General features: G+C 49.0%; 1 protein-coding gene and 1 long non-coding RNA gene across 6 annotated transcripts in view; one reads left to right on the top strand and one right to left on the bottom strand.

The window, feature by feature from the left end:
- Positions 1 to 4,727: 4,727 nt before the first annotated feature.
- LOC105371131 (uncharacterized) overlaps positions 4,728 to 19,250 on the top strand; it is a 25,459-nt gene continuing 10,936 nt past the window's right edge. Inside the window, exons 1-2 of one of the 2 annotated variants that reach the window (XR_007065022.1) lie at positions 4,728 to 4,770; positions 6,023 to 6,129. This is a non-coding gene — a long non-coding RNA (uncharacterized LOC105371131). Of the gene's footprint in view, positions 4,771 to 5,840; positions 6,130 to 19,250 lie in introns of those variants that run through there. The other variant, XR_007065021.1, reaches the window with a different exon arrangement.
- Positions 7,072 to 19,250, bottom strand: part of NPIPB5 (nuclear pore complex interacting protein family member B5) — a 32,937-nt gene continuing 20,758 nt past the window's right edge. For all 4 annotated transcript variants that reach the window (NM_001395851.1, NM_001135865.3, NM_001395849.1 and 1 more), the window contains 5 exons: positions 15,942 to 16,041; positions 15,634 to 15,829; positions 11,487 to 11,547; positions 11,342 to 11,377; positions 7,072 to 9,981 (listed from right to left, as the gene is read on the bottom strand). In NM_001395851.1, coding sequence (NP_001382780.1) covers positions 7,222 to 9,981; positions 11,342 to 11,377; positions 11,487 to 11,547; positions 15,634 to 15,829; positions 15,942 to 16,041 — 3,153 coding nt within the window. In that variant the 3' untranslated portion in view covers positions 7,072 to 7,221. The remainder of the gene's footprint in view (positions 9,982 to 11,341; positions 11,378 to 11,486; positions 11,548 to 15,633; positions 15,830 to 15,941; positions 16,042 to 19,250) is intronic.

Raw genomic sequence — 19,250 nt, 5'->3', positions numbered from 1 at the left:
CACCACCCCCGAGAGGCCTCTGGACCACCCCATCTGAGCAGGCCACTCTTCCTTCTCTATCTTACCATCTTGTTTCTGTCCCAGTAGTTAGGGCTACCTCTAGTAATCCTATTTGTCCCTTTACTGTTTAGTGCGTCTCGCTTGACTAGAAGCTCCATGAAAGCAGAGACCCTACCTGCCTCCTTCGCCACTAGACCCCCAGGGCCCGGTATGTGGTGATCGCTCAGGGCCCATTTTCTTCCTTTCCTCCTCCTCCAAGGGTGGGGAAAGAGCATCAGAAGGTCTAGGTGGCCCCAGGCCCAAACAATGCTCCTTTAAAAGGAAACCAGATTGTTACAAAGGTCAGAGGCTGAAAAGTTATTTCCGCCTTTTATCCCTCTAAATTCTTCACTTCCTGAAAAAACAAACAAAAAAAAGCCACTGAGGGCCCTTGGACTAAATCCAGGCCTGAGTTGCTGGGCAGAGGTCAGTCTTGTCCAGACATGGGAAAAAAATAACTCGAGTCAGACAGGTGGGTCACCAGAGAACGAATCCAGCCTGCAAATGGCCTGTGCAATCTTCAGCTCTGTCCAGACCTGCCTCCCTCTGGGGATGCCTTTAAAGGTGATGAATGACCTGGATGAATGGGCTTAGAAGATAAGAGGGAAAAACAAATATCACAGGTCAAATCGTTATTTGTCTTCAAGTTTAACACCGTCTACTGGACTGAAAGATGTCCAAAGAATAGTTGTTCAACTATGTAAATTCCTTTTTTTTTTTTTTTTTTTTTGAGACAGAGTCTCGCTCTGTTGCCCAGGCTGGAGTGCAATGGTATGATCTTGGCTCACTGCAAGCAACCTCTGCTCCTGGGCTCAAACCATTCTCCTGCCTCAGCTTCCCAAGTAGCTGGGACTACAGGCATGTGCCACCACGCTCAGCTAATTTTAGTATTGTTAGTAGAGACAGGGTTTCACCATGTTGACCAGGCTGGTCTCGAACTCCTGACCTCAGGTGATCCACCTGCCTCGGCATCCCAGAGTGCTGGGATTACAGGCGTGAGCCACCGTGCCCGGCCAACTACATAAATTCCTAACAACGTATCTCCAGAAAGTATAGGCACAACAGCACATGCAGTCATTCCTGTAATTAAGTGCTCCGGGAGGCCAAGGCAAGAAGATCCCTTGAGCCCAGGAGTTTGAGACCAGCCTGGACAACATAGCAAGACTGTGTCTCTACAAAATATACAAAAATTGGGCTGGGGATGGTGGCTCACGCCTGTAGGCCCAGCACTTTGGGAGACCAAGGCAGGAAGATCGATTGAACTCAGGAGCTCGGGACCAGCCTGGACAACATAACGAGACCCAGTCTCTACTAAAACTCAAGAAAATTAGCCAGACGTGGTTGCATGTGCCTGTAGTCCCAGCACTTTGGGAGGCCAAGGTGGGTGGATCACCTGAGGTCAGGAGGTCGAGACCAGCCTGGCCAACATGGTGAAGTCTCGTCCCTACTAAAAATACAAAAATTAGCCAGGCACGGTGGCACACACCTGTAATCCCAGCTACTTGGGAGGCTGAGGCAGGAGAATGGATTGAACCCAGGAGGCAGAGGTTGCAGTGAGCCGAGATGGCACCATTGCACTCCAGCCTGGGCAACAGAACAAGACTCCATCAAAAAAAAAAAAAAAAAAAAAAAAAAAAAAAAAAAAAGAAAGAAAGAAGAAAATTAGCCAGGTGTGGTTGCATGCACCTGTAGTCCCAGCACTTTGGGAGGCCAAGGCAGGAGGATCAATCAAGGCTAGGAGATTGAGACTGCAGAAGGAAACCCTGTCTCTAAAAACAAGGTCCAGCTAAAATCAGGGTCCAGCTCCACCACAAGCACAGCTCCAGGGGCTGTTGAGTTTTGCCTCTACCATTCCAAGTAGTCTCTGCTCCAGACCAAGTCCCACCATCTGGCAGTCATGTCAGTCCAACCACAGTCATATCAAGGCGCTTCCAGTCATTGAGTGCCCCTTGAGGAGGCTGGAGGAGAGGCCAATGACATTTGCACTTGAGACTCCAGAGTCTAGATTTATAACCACTATGTTACGGCTGCCAGTGTGGCTGCAAGGACACTTCTTTCATTCATTCATTTACAATAGATGTAGCATCTGCTGTGTGCCAGATGCCATTCTAGGTTCTAGGGAAACAAGGCACAGCCCCTGTTTTCCAAGGCATCCACATTCTAGGAAAGACTGCTACCAGCCTGGCGTGGTGGCTCATGCCTGTAATCCCAGTACTTTGGGAAGCCGAGGTGGGCAGATCACTTGATGTCAGGAGTTCAAGACTAGCCTGACCAACATGGGGAAACCCCGTCTCTACTAAAAATACAAAATTATCCAGGTGCGGTGGCGCATGCCTGTAATCCCAGCTACTCGGGAGGCTGAGGAGGAGAATCGCTTGAACCCAGGAGGCGGAGGCTGTGGTGAACCGAGATCGCACCACTGCACTCCAGCCTAGGCAACAAGAGCGAAACACCATCTCAAAAAAAAAAAAAAAAAAAAAAAAAAAGGAAACCGCATCTCTACTAACAATACAAAAATTAGCTGGGCAAGGAGCTAGGTGATTATAGTACCAGCTACTCAAGAGGCTGATGCAGAAGAATCACTAAATCGCATCTCTACTAAAAATACAAAAATTAGCTGGGCAAGGAGCCGGGTGACTATAGTACCAGCTACTCAAGAGGCTGATGCAGGAGAATCACTTGAATCCGGGAGGCAGAGTTTGCAGTGAGTTGAGATTGCACCACTGCATTCCAACCTCGGCAACAGTGCGAGACCCTGTCTCAAAAGAAAAAAATAATATAAAGTGACCAGGTGTGGTGACTCACACCTGTAATCCCACCACTTTGGGTGGAAGCAGGAGGATCACTGGAGCCCAGGAGTTTGAAACCAGCCTAGGCAACATAGTGAGACCCTGTCTCTATATTAAACACACACACATGCACACACACACACACACACACACACAAAGGCAGCCAGACTATGCACAAGGAACTGCCCTGGGAATCCCTTTGCATTCTCACAACAATCCCATTTCACAGATGAAGAAACCAAGGCACAGAAATATTAAGTAACGTGTCCAGGTGTGGTGGCTCATGCCTATAATCCCAGTACTTTGGGAGGCTGAGGCAGGCAGATCACGAGGTCAGGAGTTCGAGACCATCCTGGCCAACATGGTGAAACCCTGTCTCTACTAAAAATACAAAAATTAGCTGGGTGTGGTGGCAGGTGCCTGTAATTCCAGCTACTCAGGAAGCTGAGGCAGGAGAATTGCTTGAACCCGGGAGGCGGAGGTTGCAGTGAGCCGAGATCACACCACTGCACTCCAGCCTGGGTGACAGAGCAAAACTCCGTCTGAAAAAAAAAAAAAAAAGAAGAAGAAGAAATACTAAGTAACTTGTCTGAGGCCACTTAGTTACCAAGACGTGGGAGCTGGGACTTGAACCCAGGCAGTCTGGCTGGATTCATGCCTGCAGCCTCTGCACTCCTGCTACTTACTGTGTGAGAAGCGCCTGTTCTGTGGAAGGTTGTGGGCTGAGATCTTTCCATGAGTTCCACTCATTTACCCCCAAGGCTGTTCTTAAAGACAGGCATGACAGTTATGCCCATTTTACAGATGCGGCCCTGAGGCTCACAAGGGCACGCCACTCGCCCATTTCCACAAAGCTATAGCTCGTTAGCGGAGGGCAGAATTCGGCCGCCTCTCCCCTAGCTCGAAGGCTGTGATTGACACAGAGGTTTTTTTGTTGTTGTTGCTGTTGTTTGTTCTTTTTTCTTTTCTTTTTTTTTTTTTTTTTTGAGACGGACTCTCGCTCTGTCGCCCAGGCTGGAGTGCAGTGGCGCGATCTCGGCTCACTGCAAGCTCCGCCTCCCAGGTTCACGCCATTCTCCTGCCTCAGCCTCCCGAGTAGCTGGGACTACAGGCGCCCGCCACCACGCCCGGCTAATTTTTTGTATTTTTAGTAGAGACGGGGTTTCACCGTGTTAGCCAGGATGGTCTCGATCTCCTGACCTCGTGATCCGCCCGCTCGGCCTCCCAAAGTGCTGGGATTACAGGCGTGAGCCACCGCGCCCGGCCCTTTTTTTTTTTTTTTTTTGAGACAGGGTCTTGCTCTGTCATCCCGGCTGGAGTGCAGTGGTGCGATCTCAGCTCACTGCAAACTCTGCCTCCAAGATGCAAATGATTCTCGTGCCTCAGCCTCCCAAGTAGCTGGAATTACAGGTGTGCACTACCACGCCCAGCTGTTTTTTGTAGAGATGGGGTTAGTAGAGATTTGTTTAATAGAGATGGGGTTTCACCATGGTCTCTACTAAACCCTGTCTCTACTAAAAATACAAAAATTACCCAGACGTGGTGGCACATGCCTGTAGTCCCAGCTACTCAAGAGGCTGAGGCAGGAGAATCACTTGAACCTGGGAGGTGGAGGTTGCAGTGACCCAAAATCATGCACTCTAGCCTGGGGTCTCGCTTTTGCCCAGGTTAGAGTGCAGTGGCACAATCACAGTGGCTCACTGCAGCCTCAAACTCCTGGGCTGAAGGGAATCCTCCCACCTCAGCCTCCCAAGTAGTTAGGACTATAGGCATGTGCCATCCTGGCGAGTTAATTTTTTGTGTGTTTTTATTCTCTCGAGACAGAGTCTTGCTCTGTTGCTCAGGCTGGACTGCAATGGCGTGATCTTGGCTCACCGCAACCTCCACCTCCGGGGTTCAAGCAATTCTCCTACCTCAGCCTCCCGAGTAGCTGGGATTACAGGTGCGTGCCACCATGCCTGGCTAATTTTGTATGTTTAGTAGAGACAGGGTTTCGCCGTGTTGGTCAGGCTGCTCTCGAACTCCTGACCTCGTGATCCACCTGCCTCGGCCTCTCAAAGTGTTGGGATTACAGGCATGAGCCACTGAGCCTGGCCTGGTGAGCTAATTTTTAAATTTGTTATAGAGACAAGAGAGACAAGAGTCTCTCTTATGTTGCCCAGGCTGGTCTCGACCCCCTGGCCTCAAGTGATCCTCCCACCTCAGCCTCCCAAAGTGCTGGGATTACAGATGGGTGTCACCGCACCTGGCCTCTGAGGAGGATTTCATTATAAACCTGCCCTGAAGGGAGGGAATCCAATTTTACGAGAGGGTGTAGCCTGGTGAGGCCTGGATGACCTCCGGAGGCAGGGGCTTGTGCCTGGGCTGAGGCCTAAGGGACAATGGGCAGACATGAAGTTGCCCCAGGCAGAGGGTACAGTGTGGGCAAAGTCAGGAAGTGGCAGGGCTTGGATCACTCCAGGAAGAGAGAGGAGTCATGTGTCACAGGAGCTCGAGACCCAGAGAGTGAGGCAGGGAGGCAGGGACCAAGCTTGGGCACAGCCAGGAAGGCAGGACAGGGCATGGTGGGGCCAATGGAATCATTACCCAAGACGGAGATTTTCAGGGAAACAGCTTAGATAAGGCCAGGCGTACAGTAGCTCCCACCTGTAATCCCAGCATTTGGGGAGGCTGAGGTAGGACTGCTGAGCCTGGGAGCTCGAGACCAGCCTAGGCAACATAGTGAGACCCCATATCCATAAAAAATTTAAAAAAGGAGTTTGTGTTCCTGTAGTAGCAGACTTGGGAGGTTGAGGTGGCAGTATCACTTGAGCCCGGGAGTTCAAGGCTAAAGTGAGCTGATTGAGCCATTGCACTCCAGCCTGAGCAACAGAGAGATACGCTGTCTCAAAGGAAATACAAATTAAAAAACCAGCCGGGCATGCTGGCGTGTGCCTGTAGTCTCAGCTACTTGGGACACTGAAGTGGGAGGATCGCTTGAGCCCAGGAGTTCAAGGCTGCCGTGAGCTATGATTGTGCCTCTGCAGTCCAGCCTGGGCGACAGAGAAAGACCCTGTCTCTTAAAAAAAAAAAAATCTTAGATAAGAGGATGCTGTGCCTCCCTGGGGGTCTTCAGTCACCCATAGTCCTGGCAAGAGAGGAGGGCCAGGAGAGAGCTTCACCCACCTGCTGTCCTGCCCATGTGACATCCGCAGGTGCTGCCATGGCCACGACTGATGTTACACTCGAGCTGAGGAGGCCGGCTGCAGCCCCAAGACAGAGCGCTACTCCTGGCAGTGCGTCAATCAGAGCGTCCTGTGCGGTGAGTCCCCAGCACCACCATGCCACCCACCCCGAGTATCCCCTGGGCATCCTGGCATAGCCAGATGACTTCCGTGCCCCTGTTGCAATAACCACTGCTTCCAAGTCTCTATAGACCACCCCTTGGGTATATCTAATGTAAGTGATATTTATTTTATTTATTTTTTGAGTCAGTCTCGCTCTGTCACCCAGGCTAGAGTGTGCTGATGTGATCTCGGCTCACTACAACCTCTGCCTCCTGGGTTCAAGCGATTCTCGTGCCTCAGCCTCCCAAGTGGCTGGGACTACAGGCATGCACCATGACGCGCAGCTAATTTTTGTATTTTTTTCAGTAGAGGTGGGGTTTCCCCAAGTTGGCTGGGCTGGTCTCAAACTCCCCACCTCAAGTGCTTTGCCCGCCTCGGGCTCCCAAAGTGCTGGGATTACAGGCATGAGCCGTGGTGTGTGGCCCTAATGTGAGTGATCTTTAACACTGAGCACTTGAAAAAGAAAACCCTGAAGAAACCTAATTCTTTGATGTCTGGACGACAAGGAAGAAGATAGAAATGGCATCAGATAATAAACAGTGTAAATGTTTATCAGAAAGAGGCTGGTGGTCGGGACAAGTAGGAGGATCGCTTGAGTCCAGGAGTGCATCTCTACAAAAAAGTTAAAGGATTTTTTAACATTGGCCAGGCGTGGTGGCACACATCATCTGTGATCCCAGCTACTTGGGAGGCTGGGGCAGGAGGATTGCTTGAAGCCCAGGAGGTTGAGGCTGCAGTGAGCTGTGATCGAGCCACTGCACTCCAGCCTGGGTGACACAGCAAAATCCAGTCTCAAAAAAAATAATAATAATATTTTACATAACCAACCACTTCTAAAGATTAAAAAAAAACCCCTATGATTAAAAACCTCAGGTCCCTCAGGCAATCATACCAGATATCGAAACAAAGCAATAACATAAGGACTGCAGTATTTATTTTATTTTTATATTATTTATTTATTCTTTGTTAGTTTTTGGAGTGTGGGTTTTGTTTTGTTTTTTGAATTTTTTATTTTGTTCTACTCGGTTTTATTCTTATTGCTCAGGCTTGAGTGCACTGGCCTCTTCTCAGCTCAACCTCCGCCTCTTGGGTTCGGGTAATGATGGTTCCACGTCAGCGGCCCTCCGCCTCTTGGGTTTGCGTGACGGTTCCACGTCACCGACCCTCCGCCTCTTGGGTTCGGGTGATGATGGTTCCACGTCAGCGGCCCTCCGCCTCTTGGGTTTGCGTGACGGTTCCACATCACCGACCCTCCGCCTCTTGGGTTCGGGTGATGATGGTTCCACGTCAGCGGCCCTCCGCCTCTTGGGTTTGCGTGACGGTTCCACGTCACCGACCCTCCGCCTCTTGGGTTCGGGAGGTGGTTCCATCTCAGCCGCCCTCTGCCTCTTGGGTTTGCGTGGTTTTTCTGCCTCAGCCTCCTGAGTAGCTAAGGGAGGTGTCTTGAGATTATCATCGGCTGAGGGTGGAAGCGGCCCCCGCAGACGCTCGGCAGGTGTCTTGATATTATCATCTGCTGAGGGTGGAGCTGAGGGTGGAAGGGGAGTGAGCTGACGCTCGGAAGGTGTCTTGAGATTATCATCCGCTGAGGGTGGAAGCGGCCCCCGCAGACGCTCGGCAGGTGTCTTGATATTATCATCTGCTGAGGGTGGAGCTGAGGGTGGAAGGGGAGTGAGCTGACGCTCGGAAGGTGTCTTGAGATTATCATCCGCTGAGGGTGGAAGCGGCCCCCGCAGACGCTCGGCAGGTGTCTTGATATTATCATCTGCTGAGGGTGGAGCTGAGGGTGGAAGGGGAGTGAGCTGACGCTCGGAAGGTGTCTTGAGATTATCATCCGCTGAGGGTGGAAGCGGCCCCCGCAGACGCTCCCCGCAGACGCTCGGCAGGTGTCTTGATATTATCATCTGCTGAGGGTGGAGCTGAGGGTGGAAAGGGAGTGAGCTGACGCTCGGAAGGTGTCTTGAGATTATCATCCGCTGAGGGTGGAAGCGGCCCCCGCAGACGCTCGGCAGGTGTCTTGATATTATCATCTGCTGAGGGTGGAGCTGAGGGTGGAAGGGGAGTGAGCTGACGCTCGGAAGGTGTCTTGAGATTATCATCTGCTGAGGGTGGAAGCGGCCCCCGCAGACGCTCGGCAGGTGTCTTGATATTATCATCTGCTGAGGGTGGAGCTGAGGGTGGAAGGGGAGTGAGCTGACGCTCGGAAGGTGTCTTGAGATTATCATCCGCTGAGGGTGGAAGCGGCCCCCGCAGACGCTCGGCAGGTGTCTTGATATTATCATCTGCTGAGGGTGGAGCTGAGGGTGGAAGGGGAGTGAGCTGACGCTCGGAAGGTGTCTTGAGATTATCATCTGCTGAGGGTGGAAGCGGCCCCCGCAGACGCTCGGCAGGTGTCTTGATATTATCATCTGCTGAGGGTGGAGCTGAGGGTGGAAGGGGAGTGAGCTGACGCTCGGAAGGTGTCTTGAGATTATCATCCGCTCAGGGTGGAAGCGGCCCCCGCAGACGCTCGGCAGGTGTCTTGATATTATCATCTGCTGAGGGTGGAGCTGAGGGTGGAAGGGGAGTGAGCTGACGCTCGGAAGGTGTCTTGAGATTATCATCGGCTGATGGTGGAAGCGGAATCCGCAGACGCTCAGCAGGTATCTTGATATTATCATCTGCTGAGGGTGGAGCTGAGGGTGGAAGGGGAGTGAGCTGACGCTCGGAAGGTGTCTTGAGATCATCCGCTGAGGGTGGAAGGCAGGTGTCTTGATATTATCATCTGCTGAGGGTGGAGCTGAGGGTGGAAGGGGAGTGAGCTGACGCTCGGAAGGTGTCTTGAGATTATCATCCGCTGAGGGTGGAAGCGGCCCCCGCAGACGCTCGGCAGGTGTCTTGATATTATCATCTGCTGAGGGTGGAAGGGCAGTGAGCTGACGCTCGGAAGGTGTCTTGAGATTATCATCCGCTGAGGGTGGAAGCGGCCCCCGCAGACGCTCGGCAGGTGTCTTGATATTATCATCTGCTGAGGGTGGAGCTGAGGGTGGAAGGGGAGTGAGCTGACGCTCGGAAGGTGTCTTGAGATTATCATCCGCTGAGGGTGGAAGCGGCCCCCGCAGACGCTCAGCAGGTGTCTTGATATTATCATCTGCTGAGGGTGGAGCTGAGGGTGGAAGGGGAGTGAGCTGACGCTCGGAAGGTGTCTTGAGATTATCATCCGCTGAGGGTGGAAGCGGCCCCCGCAGACGCTCGGCAGGTGTCTTGATATTATCATCTGCTGAGGGTGGAGCTGAGGGTGGAAGGGGAGTGAGCTGACGCTCGGAAGGTGTCTTGAGATTATCATCCGCTGAGGGTGGAAGGGGATGGAGCAGACACTCGGCACGTGTCTTGAGATTATCATCCGCTGAGGGTGGAGCTGAGGGTAGAGCTGAGGGTGGAAGGGGAGTGAGCAGACACTCGGGAGGTGTCTTGAGATTATCATCCGCTGAGGGTGGAAGGGGAGTGAGCAGACACTCAGGAGGTGTCTTGAGATTATCATCCGCTGAGGGTGGAAGGGGAGTGAGCACACACTCGGGAGGTGTCTTGAGATTATCATCCGCTGAGGGTGGAAGGGGAGTGAGCACACACTCGGGAGGTGTCTTGAGATTATCATCCGCTGAGGGTGGAAGGGGAGTGAGCAGACACTCGGGAGGTGTCTTGAGGCTCAGGGAGTTATCAGTTATAGAATGTTGTTGAGTTGGAGGAGGTGGCTGGTGGCCCATCCTGTTTTTTAAAGTTTCAGCTGTGAGGTAGGGCCAGTAGGGCAATCCTGAAGAATGACGATGCTCCGCTGCCGCCATTCTGACCTGTAGGGCCAAAGGAGGGAATGTTTTCACACATATTCATTTGATGGACAAAATTACCGCCACCAACACAGTCTGCACCTTCTGTTGCTGGTGATAGATTTTTGCACCTTTCCATCCTCCAGGTTTCAAAATAGCAGTATCAGTGTCATAATATCACCCTTCCACTGAGTACTGCCGACAGCTGGAGGGTAAAGGAAAGTCATTGGGACACACTGTTGTCTCCACATGCCACTGTGTCTGTCTGCAAATGTAGGCAGGCTGGGGTCCTGCCCCAGGGAAGACAGAGTCATAACAGAGTAATAAAGAAGCATGTTTGAGACACAGGAGTGTCTATGTCTATCCTCATTCCTCCCTCACAGCCATCACCAGAGCATGTTTCTTGCACCAGGTCAACAGACAGTAAGAGACAGTAAGAGAGGCATGAAAAGCCCACTGTCCACACATGTTGCAGCTTCTTTTTGGAGAATGTTTTCCAGGCCTTTTATGTTCTGTCTCTGATTCTCAGAACTCTGCAAGGTCAGTGTGACCACCCTGCTCCAAATCTAAGAAAACAGAGGTTTCCAGAGGAAGGAGAAATTGTGCCCAGGGTCACACAGCTTGCAAGAGGCAGAGTGGAAGTTGATTCCAGCTCTGCCTGCAGGACCCTCTCATTTCCCTTCTGTTTCCCTTCTTGACAAAGGATCTTCTTCACTCTGGAGGTGCCACCCATGAGAACAAAGAGCTCTGGAGAGATGTGGATTCCTGAAGAGCTGCAGGGGAACTGGGAGAGGGTTTTCTGACAGAACAATCTCACCTCAAGAAGTCACTTAGGCATGGCTGTAATATTTCTTTTCACTCCCAGGTAATACCAAATTGTAAGTGCACTAGGACATAAAGAATACTTTTGTCCATGGAAAAATGAGGTGGGAATTCTAAACAAAGCAAGTTTTAAAACTGTGTTTCACTTCAAGTGTACAAGTCCCATCACGTGTAATCATAGGACTCGGCAGCTTTTGAAGGTACAGAGGCCACACAAGAACCAGCTTAGCTGAGCATCATTTAAGGCCTTCATTTGGAATTGTCCCTGTGGGTAATAAGTTACATTCACTCTTCACTAGTTTACAGTCAGGGCCCATCTGCTATTACAAATACGGAACCTCTGACACTTAGAATATTAGATCAGGGGCCCCACTGGGTGGGGATGAAGGTGTTTTTGCGCAACACGGTTACCAACAGGGATGGGACTGTGATGCTTGTAGGCAGCCTTTCTCTCTGCCATCTCCCTCTGCAGGGCTTGAGCACAGAGCTGTAGGGAGAAAAATGTATCCATGTCCTGACCTGGCAGACTATGTCCAAAAGCAAGGAAAACAAGCAAACTTACCCAGTTGCAAAGAGCCTTTCTTGCAGAAGGGGGGATCTGAAAAAGCCAACACATGAGAAATTGAATGTTGAGAGAGTCTAAGGGCCGTGGCATCATCTGCATCAGCACTGAACTATCCTGCAACTGCAGGGAGGAAGCTCCTTACTTTGCATTTGTGGTAGTCCTCTGCTCGCCGCCGCAACTCTTGCGCACGTTGAAACATTTTCCTATGGATTACAATCACTTTCATCAGATAAAGCACCACTTTCAGGATGATTTTAAATAATCTGCCATGTTTCTGTTATCCTCACAACTGTACCCTTACACAATCTATCTCTACCTAGAAAACGTATTTCAGATGGCTAGAAGAGTACAGTCTGAGCCGGTCACGGTGGCTGACGCCTGTAATCCCAGCACTCTGGGAGGGCGGGGCGGATGGATCACGAGGTCAGGAGATTGAGACCATTGTGGCTAATATGGTGAAACCCCTTCTCTACTAAAAATACAAAAAATTAGCCAGGCGTGGTGGCAGGCACCTGTAATCCCAGCTACTCGGGAGGCTGAGGCAGGGGAATCACTTGAACCTGGGAGGCGGAGGTTGCAGTGAGCCAAGATCACGTCATTGCACTCCAGCCTGGGTGACACAGCGAGACTCCATCTCAGAAAAACAAAAACAAAAACAAAAAAACTGTACAGTCTGATCCAAACTGTTGCTGTATTGATTCCTCCTCTTGCTTACTGCCTGCTGACTTCTGAGATGATAGTTTCCTTCCCCATTCTCAGTACATCCCTAATTCATCCTTCATTGAGCATCTTTTATCATAAAGCTGTATTCTCTTTGTATTAATATCCTTACCGTGTTTCACAGGGCAGAAACAGCTGGGCTTATAAACAGGCATAGTCCTTTTGAAGGATGTGGTTGATCCTACAACAACACACTTTCCTAAGGATGACAACAACTCACCCCACCCCTAGAATGGCTGGTATGAACCGAGTTTCCACACAGTCTAGCTGGCAATGGGGTCAGGAGACGTTTTGCTACTTCACATCTTTTGGTCACTGGTAAATATTAAGGTACTTTGTTTTCTGTTTTGTGAACTCTCTCTCGCTCTCTCTCACGATATGTCTTCTGACCGTTTGTTTCTATTTCTGCATTTACTGGGTCTAAATACTGTACAAAGGTTAAAAACAACACTCCAATGGGCGTTTCCCAAGAGGGTGGGGTACAGTTTCTGAACTCACTTGTAGGTGTGTATTTCTTTCATATCCAATTTCCCATTTTCCTCTGCCTCTGATACCTGCCTCTCCTTTTCTGCATGCTCACATTCTTTCACGCTTAGTTTCCTCAGATTAGAAGGGAGAGAAATGCACACACATGATCCACCAGCCCGTGTGGGATTCCCTCTGCCCTTCTGGCATCTGAAGGCTGTGATTCAAAGATCCCCCCTGCAACCTTCCCACAAATGAACCAACTGATTCTCACAACCGAAGGGAGAATTGACACCTCCCATTGAGGGACAAAAAAAAGTCACACTCTGGCCTGCTGGCAAGTCACCTGTCATTTCCAGCTCATCTTCATAGTTCCATAGTTAGTCCTATTCTTTAGTAAATATAAAGACTATTAAAAGCTTCTATGAGGTGCACTATGTGTGTCTCTGGGGTCAGTCTTGTGCTTGACACAGCGAAAGCTCATTTTAGTTCAGTGTGAAAAACCAGACCTCACCAATTCATCACAACTAACTCCATCGGAAGCAGAGGATTGCTCCTCATCTGACTCCTCCTGTGTGAGACCTGATTCTCAGTCAGAGGCTGATGCCGGAACTGAGACCATCAGCCATAGAGAGATCCTTCCAGAATAACCCCGCAGTTCACTACTGCACTTTGCCATGATTCAGGACTGGAACTCTTGTCATCGACTTTAAAGATCCTGGTTGAGAGAAAAGGCAATCTGAATGCTGGGCGCATCTATTGAATTAGAAATGATCGGAATGGCTCCTAAGTCAGGGTGTTATGTCCTGAAAATAGGTGACAACGGCAAACCATCCACCCTGGTGTTGACTGACTTTAACAAGGTTCAGTTCACAGAGATTGAGGGCAGAAAAAGGAAACGGCCTCAAAAGGGTAAGTTTGCTGTGTTGCCCTCATACCACTTGATTCATGGTCCTGATCCTAAGGATCTCACCTGATACTTGGCTTTATAGGAAGGATGTGTAAAATTCCCAGAACGCTAGGAAACAGGGGCGAAAACACTTCAAAGAGAAAGTTAATGAACTTGTTTCTGACCACAAGGCATCCTTCAGCACATGCTGTCTGGAGTGGCCTCAAACAAGGAGTGTGTGGTGTGGTGCTGAGAATGCAATGGGAGCAGGGTCCTGTCCCCACGCTAAAGAAGCTCACAGCTTAATGCAAATGAGAAGCCAGTGAGGACATCACTACTCCTGCTGTGCACTTGGGAACTAGAAACACAAAACCTGACTCTGGAGGGAAGCTAAGGAAGCATTCTACTCTTGAGTTGACATAAGTGCATCTGAAGCTTCTGATCTCCGATGAGAACAATGGGGGACACCAAACAGAATATAAAACCCATGATTGAATACATCAAATTGCTAACATGGCAGTAAACAGACATGAGGTGAAGATGGAGAAGAAGGAAACCCAGGACGAAAGTCAGCCTCGCATTTGGAACCCATTTCCCTGCGTTTCATTGCTGAATTCCAGAAGGAACTACTGAGATGCAAAGAAGCACAGCAGCTTTTGCACACATGCGTGGGATTAGATGGAAAACAAGTGGATTGAGGGTCTGCCAATGAAAGCGACCCATACTGAAGTCCACTGGCTCTGGTTGAGACCCAGAAGAGTCATGCATCAGAATAAAGGTGGACAGGAAATACCCTGGCCTTTGTAGGGACTGAGCCTGCACCGACGACTTCAATTGCAGCCTGTATGGAGGACCCCTGACCATCCCCCAGAAGTAGACTCCCATCTCTTCTGCAGCAAGATAACATGCTACTAGGCCTCAATTCATTGCTAAACATTTTTTAACAAGTATCTCACATTTAACAAAAAAAGATCAGTCATATGGCAGCAAAATACAATGTCATATGACCAAAACATGAAAGACTGTGAAAATGAATCTGGAGGTGACCCAAGCATTGAATTCAACAATCCAGGCTGGGTGCGGTGGCTCACACTGGGAGGCTGAGGTAGGCAGATCACCTGAGGTCAGGAGTTCAAGACTAGCCTGGCCAACATGGTGAACCCCTGTCTCTACTAAAAATACAAAAATTGGGCCGGGCACGGTGGCTCACGCCTGTAATCCCAGCACATTGGGAGGCCGAGGTGTGCGGATCATGTCAGGAGTTCTAGACCAGCTTGGCCAATATGGTGAAACCCCGCCTCTACTAAAAATACAAAAATTATCCGGGCATGGTGGCATATGCCTGTAGTCCCAGCTACTCAAGAGGCTGAGGGATAAGAATCGCTTGAACCTGGGAGGTGGAGGCTGCAGTGAGCCAAGATCATGCCACTGCACTCTAGCCTGGGTGACAGAGTGAGACTCTGTCTCAAAAAAAAAAAAAAAAAAAAAAAAAAAAATTGGTCAAATGTGGTGGCACACACCTGTAATCCAAGCTACTCGGGAAGCTGAGGCAGAATTGCTTCAAACTGGGAGGCAGAGGTTGCAGTGAGCCAAGATTGCACCATAGCACTCCAGCCTGGGCGACAGAGCGAGACTCTATCGCAAAATTAAAAAAAAAAAAAAAAAAAAAAAGGCTGGCTGTGGTGGCTCACGCCTCTAATCCCAGCACTTTGGGAGGCTGAGGCAGGTGGATTACCTGAGGTCAGAAGTTCGAGACCAGCCTGGACAACATGGTGAAACCCCATCTCTAGTAAAAATACAAAAATTAGCTGGGCGTGGTGGTGGGCACCTGTAATCCCAGCTACTTGGGAGGCTGAGGCAGGAGAATTGCTTGAACCCAAAAGGCAGTGAGCTGAGATTGTGCCATTGCACTACAGCCTGGGCAACAACAGCAAAGCTCCATCTCAGGAAAAAAAAAAAAAAAAAAAAAAAAAAGAGAAAGGAAAACCAATGCCAGTACTAGCAACTCCTCTTCCTCCGAAAAAATGAAAACAAGAATGTAGGAAGGGAAAGGAATTATACAGCTTAAACTAATGAAGCAGAAAGGACAAACTCAATTTTGAACCCACTGAATTTGCCACAAATATTGTAGAAAATATTCTCAAGGACTTTACAGTTGTCTACTTTGATTGGCACATGGTTCATACAACAGTATTTGTGTCAAGGCACATCTTACTGTTTTCTGGCGGTCTTCCTCTTTCCATTGATTTTGTCATGATGGTTGATTTTCGTTGTCACCTTCCTCTTACGGATTTTAGCTCTAACTTTTGTTTCCACATGTCTCCGTAGAGTAATGACGTCTTTCAGGCCAATTTTATTTCCTCGAAAGGAAGAAACTCTTTTCTTTGTGTGCATACAAATGGACCTCAGCCCTTGGTGAGAGTGAGGAGAGGAGAAGGTGAGAAACCTGAGGGCAAGAAGCTGTTCTTTCCCTTTCCAGGGCAAACTCATTTCCACACTATGCGGATTCCAACAGAGCCATACCTTCCTGTCTACGGCGGTTGGACCTCCAGGCTCTCTGCTGTACATCCGTGGATCCATCATGTCCATTTCGAGACCAGAAGATAGTCTTCAGGAGAGACACCTAGGAAATAATAATATAAGAATGACGGCTGGGCACGGTGGCTCATGCGTATAATCCCAGTACTTCGGGAGGCCGAGGCAGGTGGATCACGGGGTCAGGAGTTCAAGACCAGCCTGGCCAAGATGGTGAAACCCCGTCTCTACTAAAAATACAAAAATTAGCCGGGCATGGCAGCGGGCGCCTGTAATCCAAGCTACTCGGGAGGCTGAGGCAGAGAACCGTTTGAAGCTGGGAGGCGGAGGTTGCAGTGAGCCGAGATCACACCACTGCACTCCAGCCTGAGCGACAGAATGAGACTCTGTCACATACACACACACACACACAAGAATGACATGAGGCTGGCACGGTGGCTCACTCCTGTAATCCCAGCACTTTGGGAGGCCGAGGCAGGCGGATCACCTGAGGTCGGGAGTTTGAGACCAGCCTCACCAACATGGAGAAACGCTGTCTCTGCTAAAAATACAAAATTAGCCAGGCATGGTGGTGCATGCCTGTAATCCCAGCTAGTCGGGAGGCTGAGGCAGGAGAATCACTTGAACCCAGCAGGAAAAGCTTGTGGTGAGCTGAGATTGTGCCATTGCACTCCAACCTGGGCAACAAAATTGAAACTCTGTCTCAAAAAAAAAAAAAAAAAAAAAAAAAAAAATAGGCCAGATGCGGTAGCTCACGCCTGTAATCCCAGCACTTTGGGAGGCCGAGGCGGGTGAATCACAAGGTCAAGAGATGGAGACCATCCTGGGCAACATGGTGAAACCCCGTCTCTACTAAAAATACAAAAATTAGCTGAGCATGGTGATGCACGCCTGTAGTCCCAGCTACTCGGGAGGCTGAGGCAGGAGAACTGCTTGAACCCAGGAGGCAGAGGTTGCAGTGAGCCAAGATCCCACCACTGCACTCCAGCCTGGTGACAGAGTGAGACTTCGTCTCAAAAAAAAAAAAAAAAAAAAAAATGACATGAATATACTTCACACAACTGAACTGTACACTTCAACACGGTTAGATGGTAATTATCATCTTATAAGTATTTTACCACAGGTTAACATGTTTCACAACTTGAAAAGGAAGTAATTACCTTCAGCTCTCTGAGTTCTAGAATTTGTAACATTTCATCCCCTGCTCCTTCCTGATCTGCACTGGAGCATCTTCCTTCTGTCCCTGCTCTACTCAGAGTTCACTTTCCCTTCCCTCACATCAGCTTCATTGAGGCTGGTTTGAACTTAACGCAAAACATTCTCACTAATGACTGAATTCCCACCAAGATTTCCATATTATCACAGTATGCTTTTAATCTTCTAAGATATTAAATATTTCTTCTCATCATAGCTAAAATGCAATGCAAATCCCATCTCAGATGTGGGTCAGATACCTATGAATCTCCTGAGGTGGTCATTGAAATGACTTTTTTCTTGAGACAGAGTGTCACTCTCAACCGTGCTGAAGTGCAGTGGCGCTACCTTGGCTCACGGCAACCTCCACCTCCCAGATTCAAGCGATTCTTGTGCCTCAGCCTCCCAAGTAGCTGGGATTACAGGTGCCTGCTACCATGCCTGGCTAATTTTTGTCTTTTTAGTAGAGATGGGGTGTCACCATGTTGGCCCATCTGGTCTTGAACTCCTGACCTCAAATGATCCATCTGCTTCAGCCTCCCAAAGTGCTGGGATTACAGGCATGAGCCACCACACCTGGCCTGAAATAATATCTTTCAAATTCTTTGTAGAATTTGTTTTTTCCTGATTTCTGCACATAGGATAAAAAAAAAATCATGTACTAGGATTTCGAGAGAAGCAATGGGTAATCTAAAAAGATGAAAAGAGCAACCACGTCAATCCCACAGCTACTGCTAGATTTCATAGGAAAGGTAGCTGGCCCAGTTTGGAGCTAGGGGAAATGTCAAACACATGAAGAAATGAGAAGCCAAGAAATGCCATCACGCATGAATGCTTCATGGCACCCATGATGTCCCTGCTAAGGAGGTAATGGTATAGATGACTAGATGACAAGGACAAAGATGAGAGGTGCGAAGTTGTCCAAGTCCAACAGCTCAACTGAACTTTCCTAAGTGGAATTGTTAAAAAGTGGTAAATTTAAAAACTTCCCCTGGCTCACGTGGTGGCTCACGCTTGTAATCCCAGCACTTTGGGAGGCTGAGGTGGGTGGATCATTTGAGGTCGGGTTTTGAGACTAGCCTGGCCAACATGGTAAAACCCCGACTCTACTAAAAATACAAAAATTAGCTGGGCATGGTGGTGGGCACCTGTAATCCCAGCTACTTGAGAGGCTGAGGCAGGGGAATCACTTGAAGCCAGGAGGTGGAGGTTGCAGTGAGCCGAGGTCACACCATTATACTCCAGCCTGGGCAACAGAAGGAGACTCGTCTTCGGGGTGAGAAAAGAAAAAAAAAAAAGAAAAAAGCTTCCTCCAATTTATACCGAAAATTCTCTGTTCAGGACTAAGTGGCATAGAGAATGTTAAATGTGCCTAGATATCTTCATAACTCATATATTTTCTGTTTTCTACATATCTTGAAAGGCAGTGCCAAATGACGTGTAATTATCTAGGTGGTAAAACTGAAACATACTTCCTCTTCCCTTGAATATAAAAAAGCATTGTGGTATTAGTACTTTTATCTTGGATCATTGTTCAGAAGGAGGTTCAGCCCCCAGACAACCACATTTTTACTGTCATGAATGGCAAGACAAAATGTAGAGCTCAACTTACCCAAAGGAAAAAAGGCTCAAAAGACAAATTATGGCACAACTTAGCAGCCAAATTCTTACCAAGTACAGACTTTTGACATACTGATCTCTCTCCAGTTCCAAGTCGGAACATGCACTTTGAATGATGTCATTCAAAATTACCCTGCCCAGACACACTTTTCATTGATTCTCTTGGAGGGCAGTTCTAAGAGTCTCTGGGGCTTTCTCTGCATCATGAGACGCAGTGCAGTTCTGCCCTTCACCTTCCGGCAGTTTGTCACCTCGTCCCTATGACCTCACAGGAACTTTGTCTCAGGCCAATTGTTTGTTCCTTGGCCTCTTTCATTTCCCCTAAAAATCATTTGCTGCCCCTCTAAATGGCCTACATCTCCATCTATCTCCCTCTCCCCTCAGAAGAGGGTGCTCTTTAAGCATCAGCCATCCGGCCCTTCTAGCAGTCTCATTTTTCAGCTGGTTCCCATGTTTATGCCTGTTCTATGTTTTTCTTTTCCT

This window comes from Homo sapiens, chromosome 16 (assembly GCF_000001405.40).
Source record: "Homo sapiens chromosome 16, GRCh38.p14 Primary Assembly".
Taxonomy (NCBI): Eukaryota; Metazoa; Chordata; class Mammalia; order Primates; family Hominidae; genus Homo; species Homo sapiens.
The sequence above is the reverse complement of the archived record's forward strand: the minus strand, read 5'-3'. Positions and strand labels throughout refer to the sequence as shown.